At 37.7% G+C, this 25745-nt stretch overlaps 2 protein-coding genes and 1 pseudogene across 10 annotated transcripts in view; all 3 read left to right on the top strand.

Annotated features, from left to right (window-relative positions):
* The window catches only part of MYZAP (myocardial zonula adherens protein), a 93461-nt gene extending 75716 nt beyond the window's left edge, over window positions 1–17745 (top strand). For both annotated transcript variants that reach the window (NM_001018100.5, NM_152451.8), the window contains 2 exons: window positions 7349–7449; window positions 16783–17745. In NM_001018100.5, the coding sequence (NP_001018110.1) occupies window positions 7349–7449; window positions 16783–16879 (198 nt within the window). In that variant the 3' untranslated portion in view covers window positions 16880–17745. The remainder of the gene's footprint in view (window positions 1–7348; window positions 7450–16782) is intronic.
* The window catches only part of GCOM1 (GCOM1, MYZAP-POLR2M combined locus), a 125654-nt gene that overhangs the window by 75716 nt on the left and 24193 nt on the right, over window positions 1–25745 (top strand). For 3 of the 8 annotated variants that reach the window (NM_001285900.3, NM_001018090.6, NM_001018091.6), the window contains exon 12: window positions 7349–7449. The exons of 2 other annotated variants lie outside the window; for them this stretch is intronic. In NM_001285900.3, coding sequence (NP_001272829.1) covers window positions 7349–7449 — 101 coding nt within the window. Of the gene's footprint in view, window positions 1–7348; window positions 7450–16782; window positions 17056–24279; window positions 24354–25745 lie in introns of all 8 variants that reach the window. 3 more of the 8 variants (NR_104367.2, NR_104371.3, NR_104368.2) reach the window with 3 other exon arrangements.
* LOC124903589 (uncharacterized) lies at window positions 851–905 on the top strand (annotated as a pseudogene).

The following is a 25745-nucleotide window of genomic DNA, read 5'->3' on the forward strand; positions in this document are numbered from 1 at the left end:
TAATTTAATTTTTAAAGACTTTTCTTAAATCTGTCCCACGCTCTCTAACTCTCCTCTTACTGCCCATGTTCAGGCTCTCATCATCTTTTATTTTTTACCTTATCAACTTAGTTATTTATTAACTTACATAAATAAGTTTCTGTTATTTATTAACTTACATAAGTAAGTGTTTCTGTTTAAGCATATAATCCACTGAGTTTTGACAGTGTTTATACCCATGAAATAACCACTACAATCAAGATAGAGAGAATTTCTATCACCCCACCAAAGATTCTGTTTCAGTTTGCAACCCAGCTTTCCATTCATCCCTAGGCAATTCTTGATCTTTTTTTTCTGTAGATGGTGAGTCACTTTTTATCACTTTTGGTCACTATGGATTTCCATTTAGTGGGAATCCACTGTATGATTTGCATTTCTAGAAATGGAATCATATAGCATGCCCTCTTCTCTGTCCAGCTTCTTTCACTCAGCATAATGATTTGAGGCGCATCTAAGTTGTATGCATTCCCTTTTGTTGCAGAGTGGTATTCCATTGTATGAATATATCGCAGTTTATTCATTCAGCTGACAAAATACATTTGAGTTGTTTCCAGCTCTGGGCTATTGTGAATAAAGCTGCAGTGAGCATTAGAGTACAACTCATTATGTGAAGATAGTTTTAGTTCCTCTTGGGTAAATTCCTGGTAGTGGAATAGCTGGGTCGTAAAAGGAGGTATAAGTTTAACTTTTTAAGAGACCGTCAGTTTTTCAAAGGGGTTGTAGTATTTTAATTTTCCAGCAGTTTGAGTGTACCAGTGTCTCCATATCCTAACCCAGACCTAGTATTGCCAACCTTTTAAATTTAGCCATTCAGTGTTATAGCTTTTAGAATTTGTCTAGTAGGTTTTCTGGCTTTGAAAGCTCCAAAATAAAAATAAAAACAAAAGAAAATAAATTGAGCCATGCTAGGGGATATAGAGTGCTGTCTCATGTGGTTTTAATGTGCATTTCCTTGTCAACTGGTGATGCTGAGCATCTTTTCTTCTTTTCGAGAATCTTTTCATATGCTTTTTGCCATTTATAAGTTTCATCTTTTGAAGTGTCTGTTCCAATCTTTAGTCCGTTGTTTTATTGAGCTTTTAGTTTTCTTACTATTGAGTTGGAAGAGTTCTTTATATATTCTGGATTCGAGTCCTTTGTCAGATGTATGTGCTATGAACATTTTCTCCCATCCTGTGACTTACTTTTTTGTTTTCTTAATGATGTCTGTTGAAGATATATATATATATATATATATTTTTTTTTTTTTGCAATGGGGTCTTGCACAGATACCCAAGCTGGAGTACAGTGGTGCAATCTTGGCTCAATGCAGCCTTGACATCCTGGGCTTAAGTTATCTCCTACCTCTCAGCCTCCTGAGTAGCTGGCACTGCAGGTGCATGCCACCACGCTCGGCTAATTTTTGTATTTTTAGTAGAGATGGTTTCACCACGTTGCCCGGGCTGGTCTCGAACTCCTGAGCTCAAGTGATCAGCCCATGTCGGGTTCCCAAAGTACTGGGATTATAGGCATGAGCCACCATGCCAGGCCCTGTTGAAGAGATTTTTTATTTTTGGTTTTCAATTAACCATTTATTTCTTTTATGATTTTTGTCTTTTGTGTCCTGAGAAATATTTGCCTACTACAAGGTCACAAATATGTTCTCCTGTGATTTCCCCTAAGAATTTTATGGTTTTTACTTGTTTATTTAGTTGATCCATTTTAAGTTGATTTTTGGGTTTTGTGTGAAGCAAAGGTATCAATACTCTTTTTTTCTACACAGATGCCCAGTTGTTTACTTTTAATGTCTCTTTAATTTCTGATATTATTTGTACCCTCTTTCTCTCCCTATCTTATCCACTCTGTGTCTCTGTCTCTCTTTCTCTTTCTCTTCTTTAACCAGATAGTGGGTTATCAATTTTTGTTGATTTTAAAAAATAATTAAAATAGCTTTTGGCTTTGGTGATTTTCTCCATTGCTTGTCTGCTTTCTATTTTATTGACTTTTGCCCTGATGTTCATTACTTCCTTCCTTCTAATTATTTCGGGATTACTTTGCTCTTCTTTTTCTAGCTTCTTGAGGTAGAACTTAGGTCATTGATTTTAGACCTTTCTTCTTTTTTAATATAAACCTTTAAAGCTATAAATGTCCTTCTAATCTCTGCTTCACCTGCATCTCACAAGCTTTGATATACTTTACTTTTATTATCTTCCAGTTCAAAATATTTCCTAATTTCCCTTGAGATTTTTCTTTGATTTATGGATTATTTAGAGGCAGGTTATTTAATTTCCAAATAGTTGAAATTTTTGTTGATATTTTTATTTCTAATTTAATACTTTTATAGTCAGAGAACACAGCTTGTATGGTTTTAACTTTTAATTTATTGGGACTTATTTTATGGCTCAGCATATAGTTTCAATTAAATTTTTGTGAAAAAATATATATTTTGCTGTTGTGTATATCCTACAAATACCAGTTGGGTTTAGGTGGTTGATAATATTGTTTAGATAACTGACATTTTTCTTGGATTTTGTGTAATTGTCCTATCAATTGCCGAGAGAAAGGTGTTATAATCCCTTACCATGGTTTTAGACTGTCTCTTTCTTTGTTTTTACTTTGTGTATTTTGAAACTCTGTTACTAGGTATATACACATTTTTGTTATGTCTTGATGATGAATTGATCTTTACAATATGAAATGTTGGTCCCTACCTTTGTCAATACTCTTTGTCTTGATATCTATTTTAACTGATATGAATGTAGCCATTTTTACCCTGTTATATTTACTGTTTACGTGCTATATATTATTCCAGCCACTTACTTTCAACTGATTTATATCTCTGTATTTAAAGTACATCTCTTATAGAAAATAGTTGGGACTTGCTTTTTTATACATAGTTATAGTCTCTGCCATTTAATTGGAGTATGTAGTTTACTAATATTTAATTATATTTATATGATTGGATTTAGAGCTACCATTTCATTATTTGTTTTCTGTTTGTTCCTTCTGGTTTGTTTTGCTTATTTTGCTTGCTTGTTTGTTTTGTTCTCCTTTTTGCCTTTTGGATTATTTCAATTTTTTAAAAATACCATTTTAAGTTATCCATTGGCATTTTTGCTGTGTCTCTTTTCTCTAATATGTTGGTGGTTACTCTAGGTATTGTAGTATACATCATTAGCTGTTCACTGTGCACCTAGAGATAATATTGTACCATTTCTTTTAAAATGTAGAAGTCTTGCCATGATATACGTTCATTTACCGCTGTGCCTGTGGTTATAATTTTATATGTATTGTATCTATATACATTATAAAACCATGATACATGATTATCATTTTTGCTTTAACAATCATATGTACTTTAAAGAAATTAAGAGAAACTAGATTCTTTCATATATACTCTATTTCTGAAGGTCTGAGTTTCTCTCTGATGTCATCTCGCCTCAGCCTGAAGAAATTTTATTTAGAATTTTGTGTAGTGCAGGCCAGGTGGTAAAACATTCTCTTAGTTTTTCTTATCTGAAAGTAAGGTTTTTATTTCGCCTTCATTATTGAAAGATATAGAGCTCTAAGTTGCCGGTTTATTTCTCTTGGTACTCATTGTTTCTGGGTTCCATGGTTTTTAATGAAATATCTGTAGTGATTCAAATGATTATGCTCCTGTATATAACAGGTTGCTTTCAAGATTTTTCTTCATTTGTGGTTTTCAGAAGTTTGACTGTAATGTGTTTCTCTTTGAATTTATCCTGTTTGGGGTTTACTGAGCTTCTTGAATTTGTAAATTTATGTCTTTAACTAAATTTGGGGAGTTTTCAGCTATTATGTTTTACAGTAATTTTCTGCTTTAGTTTTCCTCTCCTCTCTTCCTTTGACTAAAAAACCCGTATGTTAGGCTTTTCAAATTGCTTCACAGTTCCACAGTGCTCCATTTATTGTTTTCAGTCTTTTGTTTATCTACTTTCAATTGGATAATTTATATTAATGTATTGTAAAATTTACTGACTTTTTCCTTTACCATCTTCAGTCTTAAGTCCATCTAGTGACTTTTAAAAAAAAATTCAGGTATTGTACTTTCCTGTTCTAAAATTTTCATTTAGTTCTTTTTTGTATTTTCTATTTTTTTTACTACTTCATTAATTGTAAGCATATTTTTCTTTGTCTGACTGATCATTGTTATGATGGCTGCATTAAAGTCTTTGTCTGAAAATTCCAACATCATAGTTACATCAGGATTGGTGTCTGTTGATTCTCTTTTCCCTTAGGAGTGGGTACTATTTTCCCGACTCTTTATATGTCACATAATTTTGGATTATAAGCTGGACATTGTGAGTGCTTTGTTGGGTTCTTGTTTTAAAAGGCAATGAATTTAGCCAGACCCAACTACATCCTGCCTGTCTGTGATGCTGATGGCAGATCTCAGTTCAGTTCTTTAAACATTAGCTGCAAACTTCTTTCAGTTTTCTCCAGACATGCATGGTTCAGTGGTCTACCAGAGACTTGAACTGAGTCTGTATACAAGAATTTAGTGTTTTCCCCCAACTCTGACTCTCCTCTTTTGCCTTCTCCCCTACTGTTAGTAGCCCTGGCATCCTTCTCCGGGTTTCTTCCCCCAGAAAGATGATCTTTCTGTTAATATTTTACTTTATCTCTACTGCCACCACCATGACTGTGCTGCTCTCAGGGCAAATCTGCCAGCAAAAAGAAAAATAATAAAACACGGAGAATATAGAGAACTGCTTGCCACATGCTTCAAGTTTCACCTCATCTCCAAAACTTGCCTGTCTTTGTTCACTTCTCTAGAGATCTCATTAGTTGTTTCTAATCTGTTATTCAGAATGTACAGCTGTGAGTTGCAGCAGGATCAGTGTGTTGAGTGCATACTCCTCTCACTGCAAGTGCAGCCCCCACTCTTTAGCTGAATAATTGCAGTGGTCTTCCTGCTGTCTTTAGTCTTATTTTCCTCCAATCCAGCTTTCACTTGGGAGCCAGGTGATTAAAATAAATTCTGGTGCTGACCTTGCTATTGTAAGATTGATTTCTAACTTCTTGTAGTGGCATACATAGCCTTTCATTAATAACTTCTACACACCTGTGTAATGCAATAAGGTGCCTTTTCTCAACCCAGTGTGTTTCCACAGTTCTGGAATACTCATCACCTTTGATTTTTCTTACTCTCTTTCCCTTGCCTAACTCCAGAAACTCCACCGCTGTCCCCATTTTGAGTCAGATGTCCCCTCTGAGTTCCCTCTTAATATTCTGTGGATCCCCCTATAATGTTACTTAGCACATCGTTCTATTATTTGCTGCTCAGTTATCTGTATTCCCCCAAGACCGAGCTCCTCAAGGGTTGCAAATCATGCCATATTTCTTTAACTTCTAACTCTTCCCTCACCTAATTTCACTGCCTGATATATAGTAGATATACAATAATTTTTCTACTGATTGCATTATATTCTCATGAGTATACATTTTTTATTTCTGTTTCTATGGGTGTCTGTTGTGCACACACAGAGTTCCCATGAAATAGAACAAAGGATTTGGGGTCATTTGTCCTCCATTCACTGTGTATCAGTTGCGGCATATTTGCTAACCTTGTCTTTTAGGCCCCCTACCTATAGGTATTAGACCCAGCATGCTGTGAAATCCTTATGATTAAAGTCTTTACACTAAGAAGGGATAAGGCGATGGTATTACTGGAGTATCCAGCAAAGGCAGGCGTCTTCTGCCTTTCTCTTTTTTTATAAATTGGAGAGTTCAGACATTGCTGGGGAAGCTCACTGTCTCTTTCTCTCTCTCTCTCTGTCTGCACGTGTGCGCATGCGTGCATGCGTGTGTGTGTGTGTGTGTGTGTGTGTGTGTGTGTGTGTGTGTGTGTGTGTGTGTGAATGCTGATGACTCTCCGGGAATAAGCCAGCACTGGGGATGAGGTGATAGATTCAGAACCCATCGATCTGTCATAGCATGTCATCTACTAAGGAATCTGGAAAGCATTCTCTTCCTTTACACCATTTCTTATTTATCAGAAAGGATTCATTGACTTTTACATTGTACGGAACATGGATTTTCACAAGAACTGATACGTTGCTCCTTGGTATCAACCTTTCAGAGCGGGAGCTACTGAATGTTTAACCCACATCCTTTCTTTCAAAACAAATGAGCTTCTGTCTCCATAGAACTTTTAAACTTTCTTGTGTTACCTAGTGTCTTAGAATAGTGCCTCAGCTTCAGCTCCAACTTAAAGAAGAAAAGAACAAATGGTTTCATTTCTAGTTATGCAAATAAACTGCTCATTGTAAAATCATTTATAAATTTATTTATTTAGCAAATATTTATCTTGTATCTGCTGCATGCCATGCTTTGAGCATACAACCAGGAAGATAGATATGATCACTGCTTCATGAACATTTAGTCTAGCGTTACTGAAAAATATATAGAAGCACTTTTTAAAAAGCATCCCAGAATCTCAATACGCAGACATAACCACTGTTCACTTCTTTCTGAATATTTTTTTTTTGGCATTTTTGCCCTTCGGATTTCAGGCACCAGCACTTCGTCTATTTTCATTTCAGTATCTTCAACTTCTTTGTCTATTTTCATTTTGGTATCTCTTGCTTCTTTGTCCTTCATTTCCCCCATGAGGCAAATCTCCAATTGCTGAGCATCTAATCTTTAACTTATGTAATGTTTGGCTCTGGCCCGAAAGAAAAAAAACTTTTCAGAATGTGAATTTTAATCCCAAGGAGCTTGTTCTACTTTATATGTGTGAGATTCTGAATTTTCCACACCTACGAAAGACTAATTAAGTTATAGAGGTATTTCCCACTGTTAAATTAAATTAACAGACTTGCTCATTTTATAGTTTAATGAGGAGGTGTTAAAAGTTGGGCTGTACCTTATTTATAATGGCAAAAACGTGATAAATATCTAAATGCCCATCAATAAGAGACTAGTTAAATAAATAATGTATCCATAGAATGGAATACTATTAATGAGTTAAAATAGTTTGTTGACATAAAAAGAAAACTAATATAGATGGAAAGATAGCTACAACAAATTAGTGGCTGAAAAAGCAGATTATAACATAGATTACAATATTTTGTTTTCATTTATGTAAAATTGGATGCACATGTCTGTACATGCATAGCAAGCCATTTGTATGCATTCAGTCAATCTATTTCTTCAACAACTATTGTGTAAGTGATGCTCTGTAAATACATTGTGATAGTTGCCCATGTCATGGGGCAAAATCAGATAATACATATAAATTGTATCATGCATATTTGAGGGGGAACATATTTGACTTACTGAAAGTACCTTTTTTTCTCATCTCCAGAATAATGAACTACAAAGCAGGTTGGACTATTTAACAGAAACCCAGGCCAAGACCGAAGTGGAAACCAGAGAGATAGGAGTGGGCTGTGATCTTCTACCCAGGTATTTAGGAATTTCCTGATTTTTTTTTTTATTCAAATTCCTCTTTGGCTGAAGAAAATACTTTACTAGGCTGTTCTTAGCAGAATTGCATTCTTCCTATCACAAATATTTCTGCAAAGCCGAGTGGTGGCTGCTGAGAGGCTTGACTGGTTTCTGTAGGAACAGGGGCATTGTGCAGGGTGGAGGGGTCAGCAAAGGAGAGACCTGGGGAAGCCATTTAGAGAGAGATGGGCCCTGTCAGTGAGTGAATGCATTTGTTCCTTCCTTCCTTCCTTCATTCATTCAACTAATGCTCTTAGTACCTTCCCTGTGCCAGACAGTTATGACACAGAGAGGAGTGAGATTTGGTTCCTGCCCCAGAGTACAGTCTGGAGGGAGAGACAGGTATGTAGGTAGACATATATAACGGTGTGAGAGGGGCATCCGAGGTGCTTTAGTGATATACAAGAGGGAGGATCTAAACCTTGAACAAAAGTCATCTGTTCCTCAGTACTGTAACAGGGTATTGTCAAGCACTGGATCCAGTTCATAAATACCTGATCTGCTTGAGTCATCGGCAGATATGTGATAACTATAACCTGGTTTGTTCAGTTACATTCCTGAGCTAGAGGACTGACCTGTTCATTGTTAAGCTGCTTCCATGCTTGCGTCTCTTCCTGGTGACATTAGAGCCTGTAACACAGTAACCTGCCTCTGATAACTAACTCACCATTCCCGGGTGCTCACAACTGTGCCTGGCCTCAAGAGGACATAAAACAAGTTTACAGCAAAGATGCTAATGACATGTGACTTGTGATTTAGGTAATCAAAGTCACAAAATGCCTGGTATCGTGTGTGCAGGAGGGTGGATTCTTGTGTGAACAGGGGCACTTGTGTGTGCTTTGCTGGACATAGTAGTCTAGAAAAATGTCGAATCCTGGAATCTTGAGTGGTTACAGCTGGTGGGAAGTAGTGACGAGCCGATCACCAAGCTGGGGTGTGGAATACCTGGTTCTTGTCCTACCAGCCAGCAGCAGGATGCCTTCAGACAGGTTCTTCACTGGGGCCTCGGTTTCTCAACTTCTAAAGTCAGTGATTTGACTAGGTAACTGCTCAGGCCTCTACCAGCTCTAACATTGTACAGTAAGGCCTCCTTTCCTTACTTTATTAATTTTTATTTATTACTGGTATTGTCATTTTTGTTAATTAAAATGAATCACTTGCCATTCTCAAAGAATTTACCAAAAGCGGCATTAGGTTCTTTCTTTGACAGTGTCCTCAATTACATTGCTTGCCTTCTAGTAAAAAGGCATTTTTTATCAGTCCAATATAATTAATAGAAAATGTTGAATATATATATATGTATATATATGTGTATATATATATATGTATATATATATATATATATATACATATATATACATATATATAGACTCCGGATCTCATCATATTCAGATATATTTTCATATATGAAAATATAACCAAAAAGAACGATCAATTGTGTACAGAGACCTTTTTGAAATTTAAATAATTTGGCCGTTTCCCCCCTTTTTGTATTTTTCAAAAGCCAAGTGGCCTAGTCCACTCTAATTGCCCACATAATAAATCTTGTTTGGCTAAGACGGGTACAAAACTATGTCTGAAACCAATAAATTGTTTGTTTTCTAATTCCCGCATTTTGGCTTAAAACAAGCTTTTCAATTTGTATGCCCAAGTATAGCCTGAAGCAAACTTTTATGGCTAAGTTATGAAACCACAAAGCGGTTTTCATAATGGAAGTGCTGACAGACCCTTAACTTATGGCCATGGTGAACTTGGAAGCCACTTCAGTATCTAAAAGCAGCTTTTCCATAAATGTAACATTTGGTTTCCCCCCGGATCCATCTTAGCAGTTTAACTACCTAGGTCAATCAGCAGAGGAAATGAAAACTACATATCCGTGTTTCCGAAAAGGCAGAATAATATTTCATTCGTTTCCTCGCAAATATTTATTAAGTGCCTACTATGTGAAAGGCGCCAGGGAAGTCTGGGTGGGGAGGAGCCCAGAATCTTTCGGTAACTCAGGGCAGTGGCCTTCCACCTGCGCTTCTTGGAACTGCCTTACTCTGAGCTGGGGCTCCTGGAGAGGCTTCGGGATGCCCGGGGGGATGAGGAGGGTTAGTGAGCGGCTGGACCGTGGGACCCTTCTTCCTCCCCAAAACAACTGAGAAAGTCAGCTTTTAGTTTGTTTTGTCTGTTGGATTCCAAGTAAGATTCTGTTTGAATAAATAGCTCTATGGGCAAAAACAAATTGGAACTCCCGGTCTAGTTAATCCCCATGTTTTATGGATGCCAGAACTGGGGCTCAGAGAGATCAAGTGATTCACTGGAAGCCACATAGCCAGAATTAGAACCAGGCCTTCTTGAGTCTTGGTGCAGTACATGTGTAGTTTGAAAATATGTAATAAATAGAGAGCTACTAAATGGTGGTGTGTATGTTCTAACAAAATTCCTGGTTCATACTTGGACTTCAAATTTGCATCTAACTAATAAAAGATTCCATGGTATTGTCCAGAATGTTTTTTAGATTTTTGTTTCTAGAATGTTTTAGACCAATACAAGCATTGAATTAAGCCTGAGTTATGCAGAAGCGTTTTGTTCTTTGTCCCTATTCTTCTCCTACAAGGAATTCACCAGTGTGGAACAGTCAGGGAGGCTCAGGCTGTCCAGTTCCCTGCCCAGCCAGCTGCTAGCTGAGCTCAGCCTTGGGCAAGTTACTTCATCTCTCTAAAGCTTCAACTCTTTCATCTTTAAACTAAGAATGAAGAGGATAATATCAAACCTCATTGGGTTGCTTTGAAGATTAAATAAAAATGTGTACATAAAGCATTTAGAGACTGGGCATGGTGGGTCACACCTGTATTGCCAGCACTTTGGGAGGCCAAGGCGGGAGGATCCCTTGAAGCTAGGAGTTCAAGACCAGCCTAAGCCACATAGCAGGACCTTATCTCTACCAAAAAAAAAAAAAAAAAAAAAGAAAAGAAATAAAAAATAGGCCAGGCATGGTGGCTCATACCTGTAATCCTAGCACTTTGGGAGGCCAAGGCAGTGGATTGCCTGAGCTCCAGAGTTCAAGATCAGCCTGGGCAACTTGATGAAACCCTGTCTCTACTAAAATACAAAAAATTAGCCGGGTGTGGTGGTGTGCACCTGTAATCCCAGCTACTCAGGAGGCTGAGACAGGAGAATAGCTTGAACCCGGGAGGCAGAGGTTGCAGTGAGCCAAGATCATGCCCCTGCACTCCAGCCTGGGCCTGGGCAACAGAATGAGACCCCGTCTCAAATAAATAAAAATAAAAATGAAAGCATTTTAGCATGGTAACTGGACCAGAGTTAAGCACTTAATAACTAATAGCTATTACTATTAATATTAACTAAACCCAAACTCTGATTTTCTATGTAGAACACTATATAAAATACAAAAAAATCTGAGTATGCTAAGATGATTTCATTAACTTTTTATTGGTGGTAATCATTGATTTTATGAAATGGATTGATAGCCTGATCAAGTATATAGTACTTCAGTATGCATTGGGCTCTTCAGTTAAACTCTCTAGACACCCCGTCTAGACACTGTGTAAAACTCTGGGAGGCCCAGTGATTGATAAGGTCTCTGTCAGCTAAGACCTGAGAGTGGCCCCTGCGTGCTGTAGGCATGGGGCACTTGTCTTATTGTAGAATAGCATGGCCTCTCCTACTCACTCATCTGTACAACTGCAAGTGTTACATGCTGTGCTACTGCTAATAGCATTTTTAGAGCTGCTCTACTTTTTTTTTTGTCTTGTGTGAAAAAAAAATTGCATTTAGTTGCCGGGTGTGGTGTCTCACACCTGTAATCCCAGTACTTTGGGAGGCCGAGGCGGGCGGATCACCTGAGGTTGGGAGTTTGAGACCAGCCTGACCAACATGGAGAAACCCCGTCTCTACTAAAAATAAGAAATTAGCCAGGTGTGGTGACACATGCCTGTAATCCCAGCTACTCAGGAAGCTGAGGCAGGAGAATCACTTGAACCCAAGAGGTGGAGGTTGTGTTGAGCTGAGATCGCACCATTGTACTCCATCCTGGGCAACAAGAGTGAAACTCCGTCTCAAAAAAAAATGCATTTAGTTGATGCTCAATAAACATTTGTTGGGTGAATAAGTGAAAGATACATACCAAATGAAGAACATAGGCAGGTGATCAGTATTATCACATGATTTATTTATTTAATAAAGGCCTTGGATGAAGTCATTCCTGCTTATGTTTCACCTCTTTGTGTGTGTGTGTGTGTGTGTGTGTGTGTGTGTGTTTCTCTCTCTCTCTCTCTCTGTCTCCTCACTAGAATATGAGCTCCATGAGGGCAGGGATTTTCATCTCTTTCACTAATTGCATTCTCCCTGGGACCTCCTTAGAGCAATGCTTGGCACATACTAGGCACTCAATATTTGTTGAATGGAGCCATCTCCCTGTAGCATTTGACAATCCTTCCTAAGAAGAAAGGAAGGATTCCTCAGCCTATTTCCTACCCTTGCAGGACTTTTCTCTCCTGGTTCTCCACCTATCTCCCTGGTCTGTCCTTCTCCAGCTTCTCTGATGGCTTCTTTTCCTCCTCCAAGACCCTCCCATGGTAGTCCACATGGCTCTATCTTGGTTCCGGTACTTTCTGCAAAGATTACATCAAGTCTCACAGCTTCACCTCTCCCCTCTGTGGCTGAGCCACAGAAGTGTGAACCTTTCTCTTGAATACAAGTCCTTGTTCCCCACAGCCTTCTGGGCACACTCCCAGCTGGTGTCTGCTTGGTCTTCATACTTGCCGTTTCATGGCCGAGTGCGCCATCTCTTTCTTCAAAGTCTCTCCTCTTAGGAGTGAGTAAGAATACTGGCTTGGAAGTTAGACCTGGGTTTGGGTCCTGAGTCCGCCTCCTGCTTTATCTGCAGCTTTGGCAAATTCCTACCCTCCTTGATTCTCATCTTGAAAAGGATGATTTTGGTGGCAATCCCTTTGGAAGCTTGTTGAGAGGATTAAGGGAAGTAACAGGCATAGAATGTCCAGTGGAAGTGCCCCGCCTTTTCATATTTCTGTGGCTGCAGCCACTGCTTTCCCAGCTACCTAAACTCAGTATATTGCAGTCACTTCTGAGTCAGAGAATTATTTTGCTCCTTGACTCACTCACTCATACTGTGCTGTTCTTTTCCTTCATGACTTGACTCCTTCTTTCCCATTCCTCTTGCTGCCAGCCTGCCTCAGACTGTCTAATCTACTCAGTACCATCTCTCTGCCTCACTTTCTCCTCCTCAAATTCTTCCCCTCCTTCATCTAATCTTTGTTTTCCATAAATTTCTAGTGACCAAGGATCTCTTCATAAAGAGAGAGGGAAAGGGAAGGGGTGAGAGGGGACTCACTGTGGGTTCAGGAGTTCACACACACACACACACACACACACACACACAAATGTATGTGTGTATTTAAAGACTCAGGAGTTTAGTTTGAAAACTTTGATATATGTTAATTAAAGCCATTGAGAACAAGTGCAGGTCATCTAGCCTTCATTTACAAAGAAAAATGAAAAAACAAAAACGAAAGGAAAAGTGACTTTTCTTTCTTCTGCCCTGTAGTGAAACTTGGTTTCCAGCAAACCAGCAAACTTGGTTTTCATCAATTATGTCTTAATAGGTGCAATATGATGAAAAATATTCCCCATGGTCATAAGTGCTCAGCACGTAGTAAGTGCTTTAAAATGCTTATATTTTCGTATTTCTTTTGCAAAGACCAGAACACAAAGTAGCTTTTTGTCAAAGCTTTATTTGCTGATTCTGCTATTGTTTTCCCCAGGGGAACTGCCCCTTTATTGATTAATAAAAGGTTAACAATAGCCTAAATGTGTTAAGGCAAATGGTTGGGTTTCAGTTTTGTGGTTGAGGTTATTTGTGTTCTTGAAATCCTGTTGTTTCCTAGTGATCAACAAAATAAAATACCCCACTTCTTTTTTAAAAGATCGGGATATGAGAGCCTGTTTTTGAACCTAGAAGGTTCACCTTTATAAATATTTCTGCATTTTATGGGCTTTCAGGATATTGTCATTGGAGACTGTTTCTGTTATGCAGAATTTTCACAGGAGTTGGCACAAATAGCCATCTGGCTTCTGCCCCTGGCATTCCACTAAACTGCCTGGTCAGGTCAGTGGGGCCTCCTGGATCACCAGGTCCCATGGATTGCTCTCTGTGGCAGGTGACACTGGGACCACTTACTTCTTGAAACTCCTCCAACCTTTGGTTTCCTTTGTAATTCATATGTGGGGTAATAGCTCTGTGGCTGGCTTCTGTGAGCTGCTGGATTCATGGAGATGACGGAGATGTGGCTTTCACCCTTAAAGAAATTATACCTAGCAGTGGACACAAATGTGTAGACCAACAAGTGCAATAAGATGCTATAGAGGCTTGGCGTGGTGGCTCACGCCTGTAATCCCAGCACTTTGGGAGGCCGAGTTGGGCGGATCATTTGAGGCCAGGGGTTCAAGACCAGACTGGCCCACCCAGTGAAACTCCGTCTCTACTAAAAATACAAAAATTAACCAGGTGGTCATGGCACGCGCCTGTAATCCCAGCTACTTGGGAGGCTGAGGCAGGAGAATTGCTTGAGCCTGGGAGGCAGAGGTTGCATTGAGCTGAGATCGTGCCACTGCACTCCAGCCTGGGCAAGAGAGAGAGATTTGGTCTCAAAAAAAAAAAGCTATGGAGGTGTCAGAAGCCTGTATAATAGTGATGTTCAAGGTGTATATGGGGATTGGGTGGAGAATATGGAGAATCTCCTGGGGGAGACATGCAAAGTTTAAAATACACCCCCTGCCATGCTTTTTAATACATCCTCTATCACCTGGTGAATGACTGGATGTGGGAAGTTAGGGGAAAGGGATTCGACTCTTAGGCTTCATATACACATTTTGTCATCGTGTTGGTTGGGATAAGGAATGTAGCTATTTGAAAGAACCCACAGATCTTGGTGGCTTAGCATGGTAAAGATTAATTTCCCATGTCAGTTTAAGGCCGTTTGGTATAGGTTTCACTCCACACAGTCTTTCAGGAACCCAGGAATTCCTCCATCTAGCAACCCTGCCTGAGCTTTGGAGTCCTCCTGGATTCTCCACTTGTATGCTCTACATAAAAGGGAAGAGAGAGAGAGAGCGTGGGGGATTATGTAGATTTTTATGGGTTAAACCTGGAAGTAGTAGAAGTCATTTCTGCCTGTTTAGTCACATGGCCCACCTAATGGCAAGAGAAGCTGGGAAATGTAGTTGAGTTGTGTGTCCAGGAGAAAAAAGAAATGGGATGTCTTAGTCACCTAATCCTGTTAACTATAACTCTCAAATGTCTCCCTAAAATCTCCCCGCCACTTCCCATCAAGTGCTTCCGTCAGAATTCAAGTTGTCATGATCTCTCTTTCACCTCCTGAAGAGCAAGAATTTTCTAACTGACCTGCCTTCAGAATAATCCTTCCCTAGTCAACCCTCGATAGTACCAGAGGAATCTTGCTAGAATAAAAATATGAGCAGATCATGGCCCTCCTTAAAAACCTGCTGTAGTTCCCTGTCCCCTTCTGAACTCCTTAGCCAGGGACATGGGACCCTTCTCCACCAGGCCTCATCTTCTGCCACTCTCCATTGTGAACTCTTTGTTCCAGTCGTTCCAAAGGAGCACATGGTTTGCAGTTCCACATCCACAAACTGTGTGCTCACCCATCTCTGCCTTACACATACTGCCCCTTCTTCCTGGAGTTCCCATCCCCGCTTTGCCCGCTTGATGAGTGCTAGGCATCCTTCAAGATTCACCTTCTCTGTGTGAATTTCTAGATGTGAATTTCCTGGTGGTGCTAAATTGTTCTGCCCTCAATTTTCCCATCATGTGTTCATGCTCATTTTGTTCAGGTCATGGCGGGAAGGGAGGCTTGAGAGTTAAATGAAGGGACTGTTGTGGATGTTTGGGCAACTTTAAGGGAAATAAACAAGGGACAGTGGCAGGCTGTGGAACTAGCAACAGTGGAAGCTGTTACCACCCTTGCCTGAGGAGGCAGGGGAGAAAGCTGGGGAAGATAACAAGTTGGGGAGCTGTAGCTATGGGCCCTGGTAGAGGGATGCCGCCAACTACCAAGCTGCAGCCTGGCTGGGAAAGGAAAAATGTCCCGACCTCTTTGTCCTCTCATTCCCTGATCCCCTGCTACCACCTTGCAGTAGGCCAAAAGGAACTGAATTTGAAGGGCAAATGGATGCTGACTTTTCCGGGCCACAGAGTAGGGTGGAGAAGGGGCAGAGTAGGGCTGAATGGCAAAAGAAGAATGCCCAGCACAGCTGTTATGTCTCTGTTATAGTTCCTAACACAGTACATGAAAATTTTTTATGTACATATCTTTCCCACCAGGTGACAAGTCCCTTGAATGCATGTTTCATATTTTTCTGAACCATGGATGCCTAGTACAACCTTTACAGGTTGTTAAAAATAACTTTTTTATTTTTAACCTGTCGTAGTCTGTTCTGGCTGCCATAACAAAGTACCATAAACTAGTTAGCTTATAAACAACAGAAATTTTTTTCTCACAGTTCTGAAGGCTGGGATGTCTAAGACCAAGGTGCCAGCAGATCCAGTGTTTGGCAAGGACTTGCTTTCTGGTTCATGTATAGTGTCTTCTTGCTATGTCCTCACATAGCAGAAGGGATGATGATGAATATTTCTGGGGCCTCTCTTTTTTTTTTTGAGATGGAATTTAGCTCTTGTTGCCCAGGCTGGAGTGCAGTGGCATGAACTTGGCTTACTGCAACCTCTGCCTCCCGGGTTCAAGCAGTTCTTCTGCCTCAGCCTCCTGAGTAGCTGGGATTACAGGCATGTGCCATCATGCCCAGCTAATTTTGTATTTTTAGTAGAGACAGAGTTTCTCCATGTTGGTCAGGCTGGTCACGAACTCCCGACTTCAGGTGATCCCCCTGCCTCGGCCTTCCAAAGTGCTGGGATTACAGGCGTGAGCCACCACGCTGGGCCTGGGGCCTCTCTCATAAGGCCACTAATCCCATTCATGAGGGCTCCACCCTCATGACCTAATCACCTCCCAAAGTCCCCACCTCCTAATACATCACCTTAGGGGTTAGGATTTCAAAATATGAATTTGGGAAAACGTAAAGTCCATTGCAGGGCCTGTTTGTAATATTTAAGTGAAATATTAAGCTGCATTATTGTCTTTTTATTTTTAAACACTTAAACACCATTTTCTAGAGTTGTCTTACCATGTGAAGCATATGGGGGGTTTTGTTTTGTTTCATTTTCCTGACCTGCATTTTCTCATTTCTCAGCCAAACAGGCAGGACTCGTGAAATTGTGATGCCTTCTAGGAACTACACCCCATACACAAGAGTCCTGGAGTTAACCATGAAGAAAACTCTGACTTAGGCACTCAGAGGCATACACTTTTTACAGATGGACAAAAGCTCTGGAACCCTGTGGCTTCAAATCCTTTGGGAAGGGTGACTGTTGTTTCCCCTACACACAGTGTAAGCCGGAATGGGAATCGCTGAGGCTCTGATCCACTTCTAAGACAGGAAGGAAAGTGAAGGCAGAGTGAGCAGGTAAGAGAGGGATATACAAGGTCACATTTCAGACACCCACTCGGCATACCCTGCCGTACTGCATCATCATTTGTTTTCTTTGTAGACACTGAAATCCTATCAGGAGGATTCCTTCACAATGTATTTTATTTGCTAGACTTTGGTTGGGAGGGAAAAGGACATTAATTTGAAGTTTCATGTTATTCATGCCAGGATTGTTTGATAGAGCATGAAGGTTTTGTTTACCCATAAAAGTATTAGAGGCAGCGTTTCTCTGATACAGAGAGGCCTGTCCACAAGAAGCATGGGCACCCAGCCAAACTTGAACCTGGAAGGGAGGGTTCCCGGCCTGCAGGTGCTCTTTCCTCTTGGTCCCAAGCATCTGTGCAGGGTCGTGGGAGCCACACTGAGAGACTTGTGTGGGCCAGACAAGCTTCATTCTGATGCGCTAGTCCCTTGGTTTAATTTGTGCCTTATGCTTTCATTGGACCAGCTGAAATCACTGTATTTATTCAACTAGTGATTTTTTTTTCTTTCTCACTTTAACTTAAAGAGAATTTTATATGTCTTGGAAATTTAATAATTTAGTGTTCTCAGTATCAATTGGTGTTTTTGTTAAACGAATGAATCATCTGTTCATGCATGCTCTACTTTGATATTATAACCTATGTCACATGTGTTTAATAAATACCATATATTTTGTTCTACTAATGTTGTCTCTCTGTTTCATCCATGACCATGTAGAAGGGGCAGAGAGCAGATCAGGCTCTGGAATGAGTGTCAAAGTCAAATCACATGATCTTCCAGCCAGTACAATTCATACAAGCATCTGTAAACCATAAGATTGACTGTGTGTGTCGGGGGAGGGTGGGGGGCCTATCTGTCTTTTTAATTGCTGAACTTTAGTTAATACACCATGTGGAAAAAGCAAGATACCTTAATGATCACAAAGTACAAAAATAGATTTTACTTTTAAACCTTTCCTCAAACCTCCCACCCCTTACTGTCTCCACTTCCAAAAAACCAAAGAAATAAAAAAGTAAGAAAGCAAAGCAACTCAGTTAGATAAATCACTGTGAGTCAGAATCATGCTAAGAGGAAAATGTGCATTTGGGAGCCACATTTGTATTTAAACACTGTCCGTGGGACCTTGGGCGAGTCGTCAAGGCTCTCTGAATATTAGTTTCATCCTTTAAAAACCTCGGATTATCACACCTACTTGATAGGCTGACGTGAGTGCCACATGAGGTCATTCCCACATAGGGAGTGGGCACTGCTAGGCACACAGGCAGTGATTGCTGTCATTCTGGAGGTTTTAGAGCACTGCTGATTGCTGGTTGAGTCTCACCACTGGAGGTATTCTAGCAGCAAAAAACCGTGTTCTGTGGCAGCCACCAAGAAGGAGCACTTAGAGAAAAAGCTGTCCTTAGGACCAGGAGATAGGGAAGCTGGACTCAGAGAGAGGCAGAGGGTTCTGGGAGCCCATCCCCCTGAAGAAACTGGTCTGGAAGCAGTTTCTAAGTGAAATGCAATGACTTAAAAAATGTCAATTTTAATGAGACCAAGGTAGAAATGAAAACTACTCTGCCAATACTTCCACATTCACTTCTTTCTCTCTCTCTTAAAACAAGCAAGGAAAAGAAAAACTTAGTAATTTTAAATTTAAAGGATACCAGGGACCATTCTGCAGCTCGGGCCTTTGTATTTTAAAATATATCTTCAACATATGGAAAATTCTAAACATGATTTGAACTACTCAAGAAGACTATTAAAGAGAGTTCCTAAATTGTACAGACTGAAACCGAAAGAAGCTGAGAGATAATCCTTCCAGATCCTTTGTCAACATTGACTCTAGTGCCCCCCAACCCTCCATCTAAAGGACTGACATTCATCAACCTCTTCATGAGCAGGGGTATTACATAAAATTGGGAGAATGAACTCTAACATTTCATAGTAAATTTATCTCACTGAAATGGAAAGCAGCAGTGTATGTAAAGGGTTTTTAAAAAATAAAACAACATCCTATAATCTTCCAATTAATATCTTCATTCCAGACCTTCCAGAATTTTAAAACACACCCGCTCCATTTTGTTTTTAAAATAAATATAACCCTATACTGAGAAGTGGAATCATGTGATTTTTAAGAACGTGGGAACACTCGAGTCAGCTATCTGAGCTTAGTCACTAGTGCGCATGTGGGTAAGTCACAACCCTGTCTGAGGGCCTGTAAAATTGGAACTGTGAGAGTTCTTTCCTAATGGGGTTGGTGTGAAGAGTAAATGAGTTAATGCCTGCATGGTTCTTAGAATAGTGCTTGGCACATGATAAGCACTTAATATATGCTACCTATTAACATTACATACTTTTGTAGCCACTTTTTGCTTACTTTATATATATATAAATATATATATACACACACTTTATATAGTTTGCTTTATATATATACTTTATATATAGTAAGTTTGCTTACTTTATATATATACATATAATATATATTTTTGCTTATTTTATATGTATATATACTTTATATATGCATATAATATATATGTATACAATATACATAATATATATTATACACATATATGTATACAATATACACATATATTATACACATATATGTATACAATATACACATATATATTATATAATATATGTGTACAATATACACATATATATTATATATAATATATGTGTACAATATACACATATATATTATATATAATATATGTGTACAATATACACATATATATTATATATAATATGTGTGTACAATATACACATATATATAATATGTGTGTACAATATACACATATATATAATATGTGTGTACAATATACACATATATATGTGTGTACAATATACACATATATATGTGTGTACAATATACACATATATATGTGTGTACAATATACACATATATATGTGTGTACAATATACACATATATATAATATGTGTGTACAATATACACATATATATAATATGTGTGTACAATATACACATATATAATATGTGTGTACAATATACACATATATATAATATGTGTGTACAATATACACATATATATAATATGTGTGTACAATATACACATATATATAATATGTGTGTACAATATACACATATATAATATGTGTGTACAATATACACATATATAATATGTGTGTACAATATACACATATATATAATATGTGTGTACAATATACACATATATAATATGTGTGTACAATATACACATATATAATATGTGTGTACAATATACACATATATAATATGTGTGTACAATATACACATATATAATATGTGTGTACAATATACACATATATAATGTGTGTACAATATACACATATATAAATGTGTGTACAATATACACATATATAAATGTGTGTACAATATACACATATATAATATGTGTGTACAATATACACATATATATGTGTGTACAATATACACATATATATGTGTGTACAATATACACATATATATGTGTGTACAATATACACATATATATGTGTGTACAATATACACATATATATGTGTGTACAATATACACATATATATGTGTGTACAATATACACATATATATGTGTGTACAATATACACATATATTATGTGTGTACAATATACACATATATTATGTGTGTACAATATACACATATATAATATGTGTGTACAATATACACATATATATAATATGTGTGTACAATATACACATATATATAATATGTGTGTACAATATACACATATAATATAAAATATATGTGTGTACAATATACACATATATATTATATAAAATATATATGTGTACAATGTACACCTATATACTCTATATGTGTACAATGTACACCTATATACTCTATATGTGTACAATGTACACCTATATACTCTATATGTGTACAATGTACACCTATATATACTCTATATGTGTACAATGTGCACATATATACTCTATATGTGTACAATGTGCACATATATACTCTATATGTGTACAATGTGCACATATATACTCTATATGTGTACAATGTGCACATATATACTCTATAGAGTATATATATATACTCTATGTATATTCTATAGAATATATATGTGTACAATGTACATATATATTCTATAGAATATATGTGTAGAATATACACATACATTCTATAGAATATATGTGTTCAATGTACACCTACAGAATATATGTGTTCAATGTACACCTACAGAATATATGTGTTCAATGTACACATACAGAATATATGTGTTCAATGTACACATACAGAATATATGTGTACAATGTACACATACAGAATATATGTGTACAATGTACACATACAGAATATATGTGTACAATGTACACATATATAATATATATGTGCACAATATACACATATATAATATATGTGTACAATATACACATATATATGTATAATATACACATATATTATATATAATATGTGTATATTATACATATATGTGTATAGTATACACATATATATTATATAATATGTGTATAGTATACACATATATGTATAATATACACATATATATGTATAATATACACATATATATGTATAATATACACATATGTATTATATATAATATGTGTATATTATATACATGTATGTTATATATAATATGTGTATATAATTGTATATAATGGATATAATATATACTATATGTATATAATATACCAATAGTGTATATAATATATACGTATATATATTATATATAGTATATAATATATACGTATATATATTATATGCGTATATATTATATACACCTGTGTAATATATGCATATGTTATATACGCATATGTAATATATGCATATATTATATACGCGTATGTAATATATACATATATATACGTGTATATAATATATCATATTATATATTGTATACGTACATAATATATCATATATAATATACGTATATATCATATATAATATACATATATATATCATACATTATATAATATACGTATATAATATATCATATATTATATAATATAAGTATATCGTATATCATATATCATATATTATATATGTATATAATATATCATACATGTATATATTATATACGTATATTATATATCATACATGTATATATTATATACGTATATATCATATATAATATATGATATATACGTATATAATATATACATGTATGATATATGATATACGTATATCATATATTATATATTATATACGTATATCATATATAATATATACTATATCATATATATGATATAGTATATATTATATAATATATTATATATAATATATTCACATGCATATATATGTGTATATATATAAAGTATATATACATATAAAGTAAGCAAAAAGTATACATATGTATTATATATAGAAATATATACATATACATAAAGTAAGCAAAAAGTGTATATATACTATATATATAATCTACACCATTGCTTCTTATAGGTAATTGGATTCCATTTTTTGATGTCCCATAATTTATTTGACCCATCCCTTAGTGTTGGAATCTTGGATGTTGTCTTCACTTTTCTTCAGCAGTCCTCTGATGAACCATCTTGTCCACACGTTTTTGCACACTTGACTGATTATTTTCTCAGGATCAGTTCCTAGAGGAATTGTCTGGTCAAAAGGTGTGCACACTTTTGGTGCCTATGGTCCAATACGGCCTATGGAAATTTGAATTCATTGAAATTCTCACTAACAGGCTGAGAATGTGACTTCCTGACTCTTTTGCCAACATGAGGAATGAGAAACAGAGTGTACAACATGGCTTTCTTTAGGCAGACCTGCCCCCCAAACAGGTGGTGAACAAAGTTCCTTCAGCATATTGCCTGTGGATATCAGAACTCAGGGACATGCAGGTGTGAGCTGCGGGCCTGGAGGTGTCCCTAGGGCCCAGAGAGTGCCTGGGCAGCCGACGGGAAACTGGATGGACTCAGAAGGAGCAAGTGTCCCTCAGGATCCAGGAATCAAAGAAGGCCTGCCGCTTAGTGAGCCAGCATCAAGAGCCTGTCACTCAGGCCACATGCCTAAGATGCGGTTTGACTCTGAGTGGGGCATGCCCCCTATTTCAGGGATAGCCTGGGAGAGAGGATCAACATTTGGGAAGTGCTTGGAGGGTGCACCAACCAAGGCTGACCCCTGAGCTGGTCCATGTGTCCACTGTGAGCACCCACTTTCTTCCCAGTGAATGCCATCTGCCTACTCCAGGAACTCTAGGGTGGTCACCAGGGCAAGGAGTGGGGGTGATAGGAATGGGTCCTGGCTCAAGTCCCACTGGGCCATGGTGCTCTTCTTGACGGCCAGACTGAGAGGGCCAGTTCAGTTCACCCAGCACATGCCAGGTGCTTGGAAGACAAAGAAATGCACCTCGAGACCCTTGCTGTCTCCAAAATCTTTTCCAGCAAGTCCAGGCCCTCCTGATCTTTCCCATCTCTGAATCCCAGGGGAACTTATTTTCAGCCCCTTCTTTATTCTTACATCTCATGACCAATCTTTGTGTACATTTATTATCTCTCCAGTGACATAAACTCCTCAGGGGCAGTGTCCCATAAGGGGCACACTAGTCATTTGGAGGGAAGCCATTGTAAACCTTGATAAGCATGAAGAAATCTACAAATGAGGAGTATTCCAGAAAAAGCCTCGGCTTTGGGGAAGTAAATAATACCAGGAGTTACTGAGCTGGACACAGCACACATACACTGAGTCTTTACAACAGTCCTGCCTGGAAGATGTTATCACCACCATTTCATGGATAAGGAAATTGAAACTCAAAAAGATGTGAAAATTGTCTGAAACCACTCAGACCTGTCTGATTTCAGAACACAGGTGGGAGGCCTGGAGTCAGTCCCAGGTCTGCCATTAAATCACAATACCTCCTTGGTCAGGTCACTACAGCACTCTGCAGCTCCGTGCCCCAGGATGCAGCTTTTTCGATGAAGTAAATGGAATTGCATCCCCCACCCAGGCTTGCTGCACAGATCATGGCATAGCATTGACAAATTTCCTAGCAGTTCATCAGAGATATGCCAATAATTGATACCTGCTACTATTACTAGTAATTACCGGGAAGCCAGTATTGCACCAAGAATATTTGCAAACCCAAGGATTTCTTCTTATTGGACACAGAGATTGAATGAATGCTAGCGAATGGAATTGTGCAGAAGACAAACAGGAGTGAGGGAAATGCTACTGGATAAGCAGGAGGTTAAATAAACTGTATCTCCTTTTGTTTAGATGTGAATTTAAGAATAATCTATTTTACTTTGTCAGGGAAGGAAAGGCCTAAAAGGGAGACTAAAGATGAGTTGCTAAAAAAGAGAGAACAGAAGCAAAGAGACCAGAAGGTGAGTGCTGCTAAAGCTTGGGGTAATTCGTTAGGCAGGATTAGATAACTAATACATGGTGTGAAAAATATCGTTGCATTTTGTTTTTGCATGCAAATATCTAATTGTTTTAGCACTATTTGTTGAAAAGACTACCCATTTTCCACTGAATTGCCCTTGTACCATTGTTGAAAATAAATTGGCCATATATGCATAAATCTATTTCTATACTCTCTATACTGTTATATTGGGATCTAGTTGCTTATCTTGACACTAATACTATGCTGTCTTGTTTGCTGTAGCTTTATCATCGGCCATGAAGTCAGGTAGCACAGGCTCTCTAATTATATTTTTCTAAGTTGATTGGGCTATTCTAGGTCCTTTGCATTTCTATATGAATTTTACAGTCTGTCAATTTCCACAAAAGCGCTATTGGGATTTTCCTTGGGACTGCATTGAATAGACAGGTCACCAAGGATAACATCAAGACCTTGCTGTGTCAGGCCAGCTCCTAGCAACACTGCAGCCCAAGTTGGGAGCACTAGGTTGGCTCCTGGATGTCAGTGACTGCTCTTCTCTTCCTTAGCTGGAAAGGTACTGGGAAAAACCTCCATAGTGTATTTTGGTAAAGGTATAGTATAATCTTTGTGGGATTCCGAACAAAATATTATAAGAAACATTCATTTGTGCCCAAGGGCCATAAACTTGGTGTAATCTGAATGCAATAAATTATAAATAAATGGCAAACAGTTCTTGATGGTTTTCTCTTAATTTTTCAAGTTTTAACATAGAGCGTTTACAGGATTCACCTTCCTGATTTAGGGATGGGAGGGGGGTTGAGAAATAATTAGTAGGCAATTTTTTGGCCCTGGGACTTTTCTTGTAAATGTTTTCTTTGGCAGCCATACTCTTGAGAACAGGAAGTTACTCTCTTGTTACAGATTTAAGACTTTTCTGAGCCAAATAACAGAAAGCTGGATTAGTTCTGAAATGAAGTGGGGGGAAAAAAAACAACTCTAGGCTCTTGCTGGAGATTAATGACATCTTACAAATATTTTAATTCTCCCCTTTCCTCTTAACTTGCTACCTCCTAAACAAAACACACTCAGACTGAAAAAAAAAAAAAAACAAAAAACTTAACTGATCACTTTGTAGCCCAACCTTAAAATAAAATATCTTTATGGTGCCCACAAATTTATGTAAACATTTTTGGGGTGTTAAAGGGAAGGAAAATAGGGCTGTCTTAAGTCGATCCTTTTTTTGTTACAAAATCCCCAATATGAAATTTAGAGCATAAAATGTAGTTGTAAAGATGCTAATTTTTCTATGATAATCACACAGATTCATAATTTTCTTTGATCTTTTTAAAATGGCTTTTAAAAATAGATAAAAGTGTTTAATCAAGCTTTGAAA

This window comes from Homo sapiens, chromosome 15 (assembly GCF_000001405.40).
Source record: "Homo sapiens chromosome 15, GRCh38.p14 Primary Assembly".
Classification (NCBI taxonomy): Eukaryota; Metazoa; Chordata; class Mammalia; order Primates; family Hominidae; genus Homo; species Homo sapiens.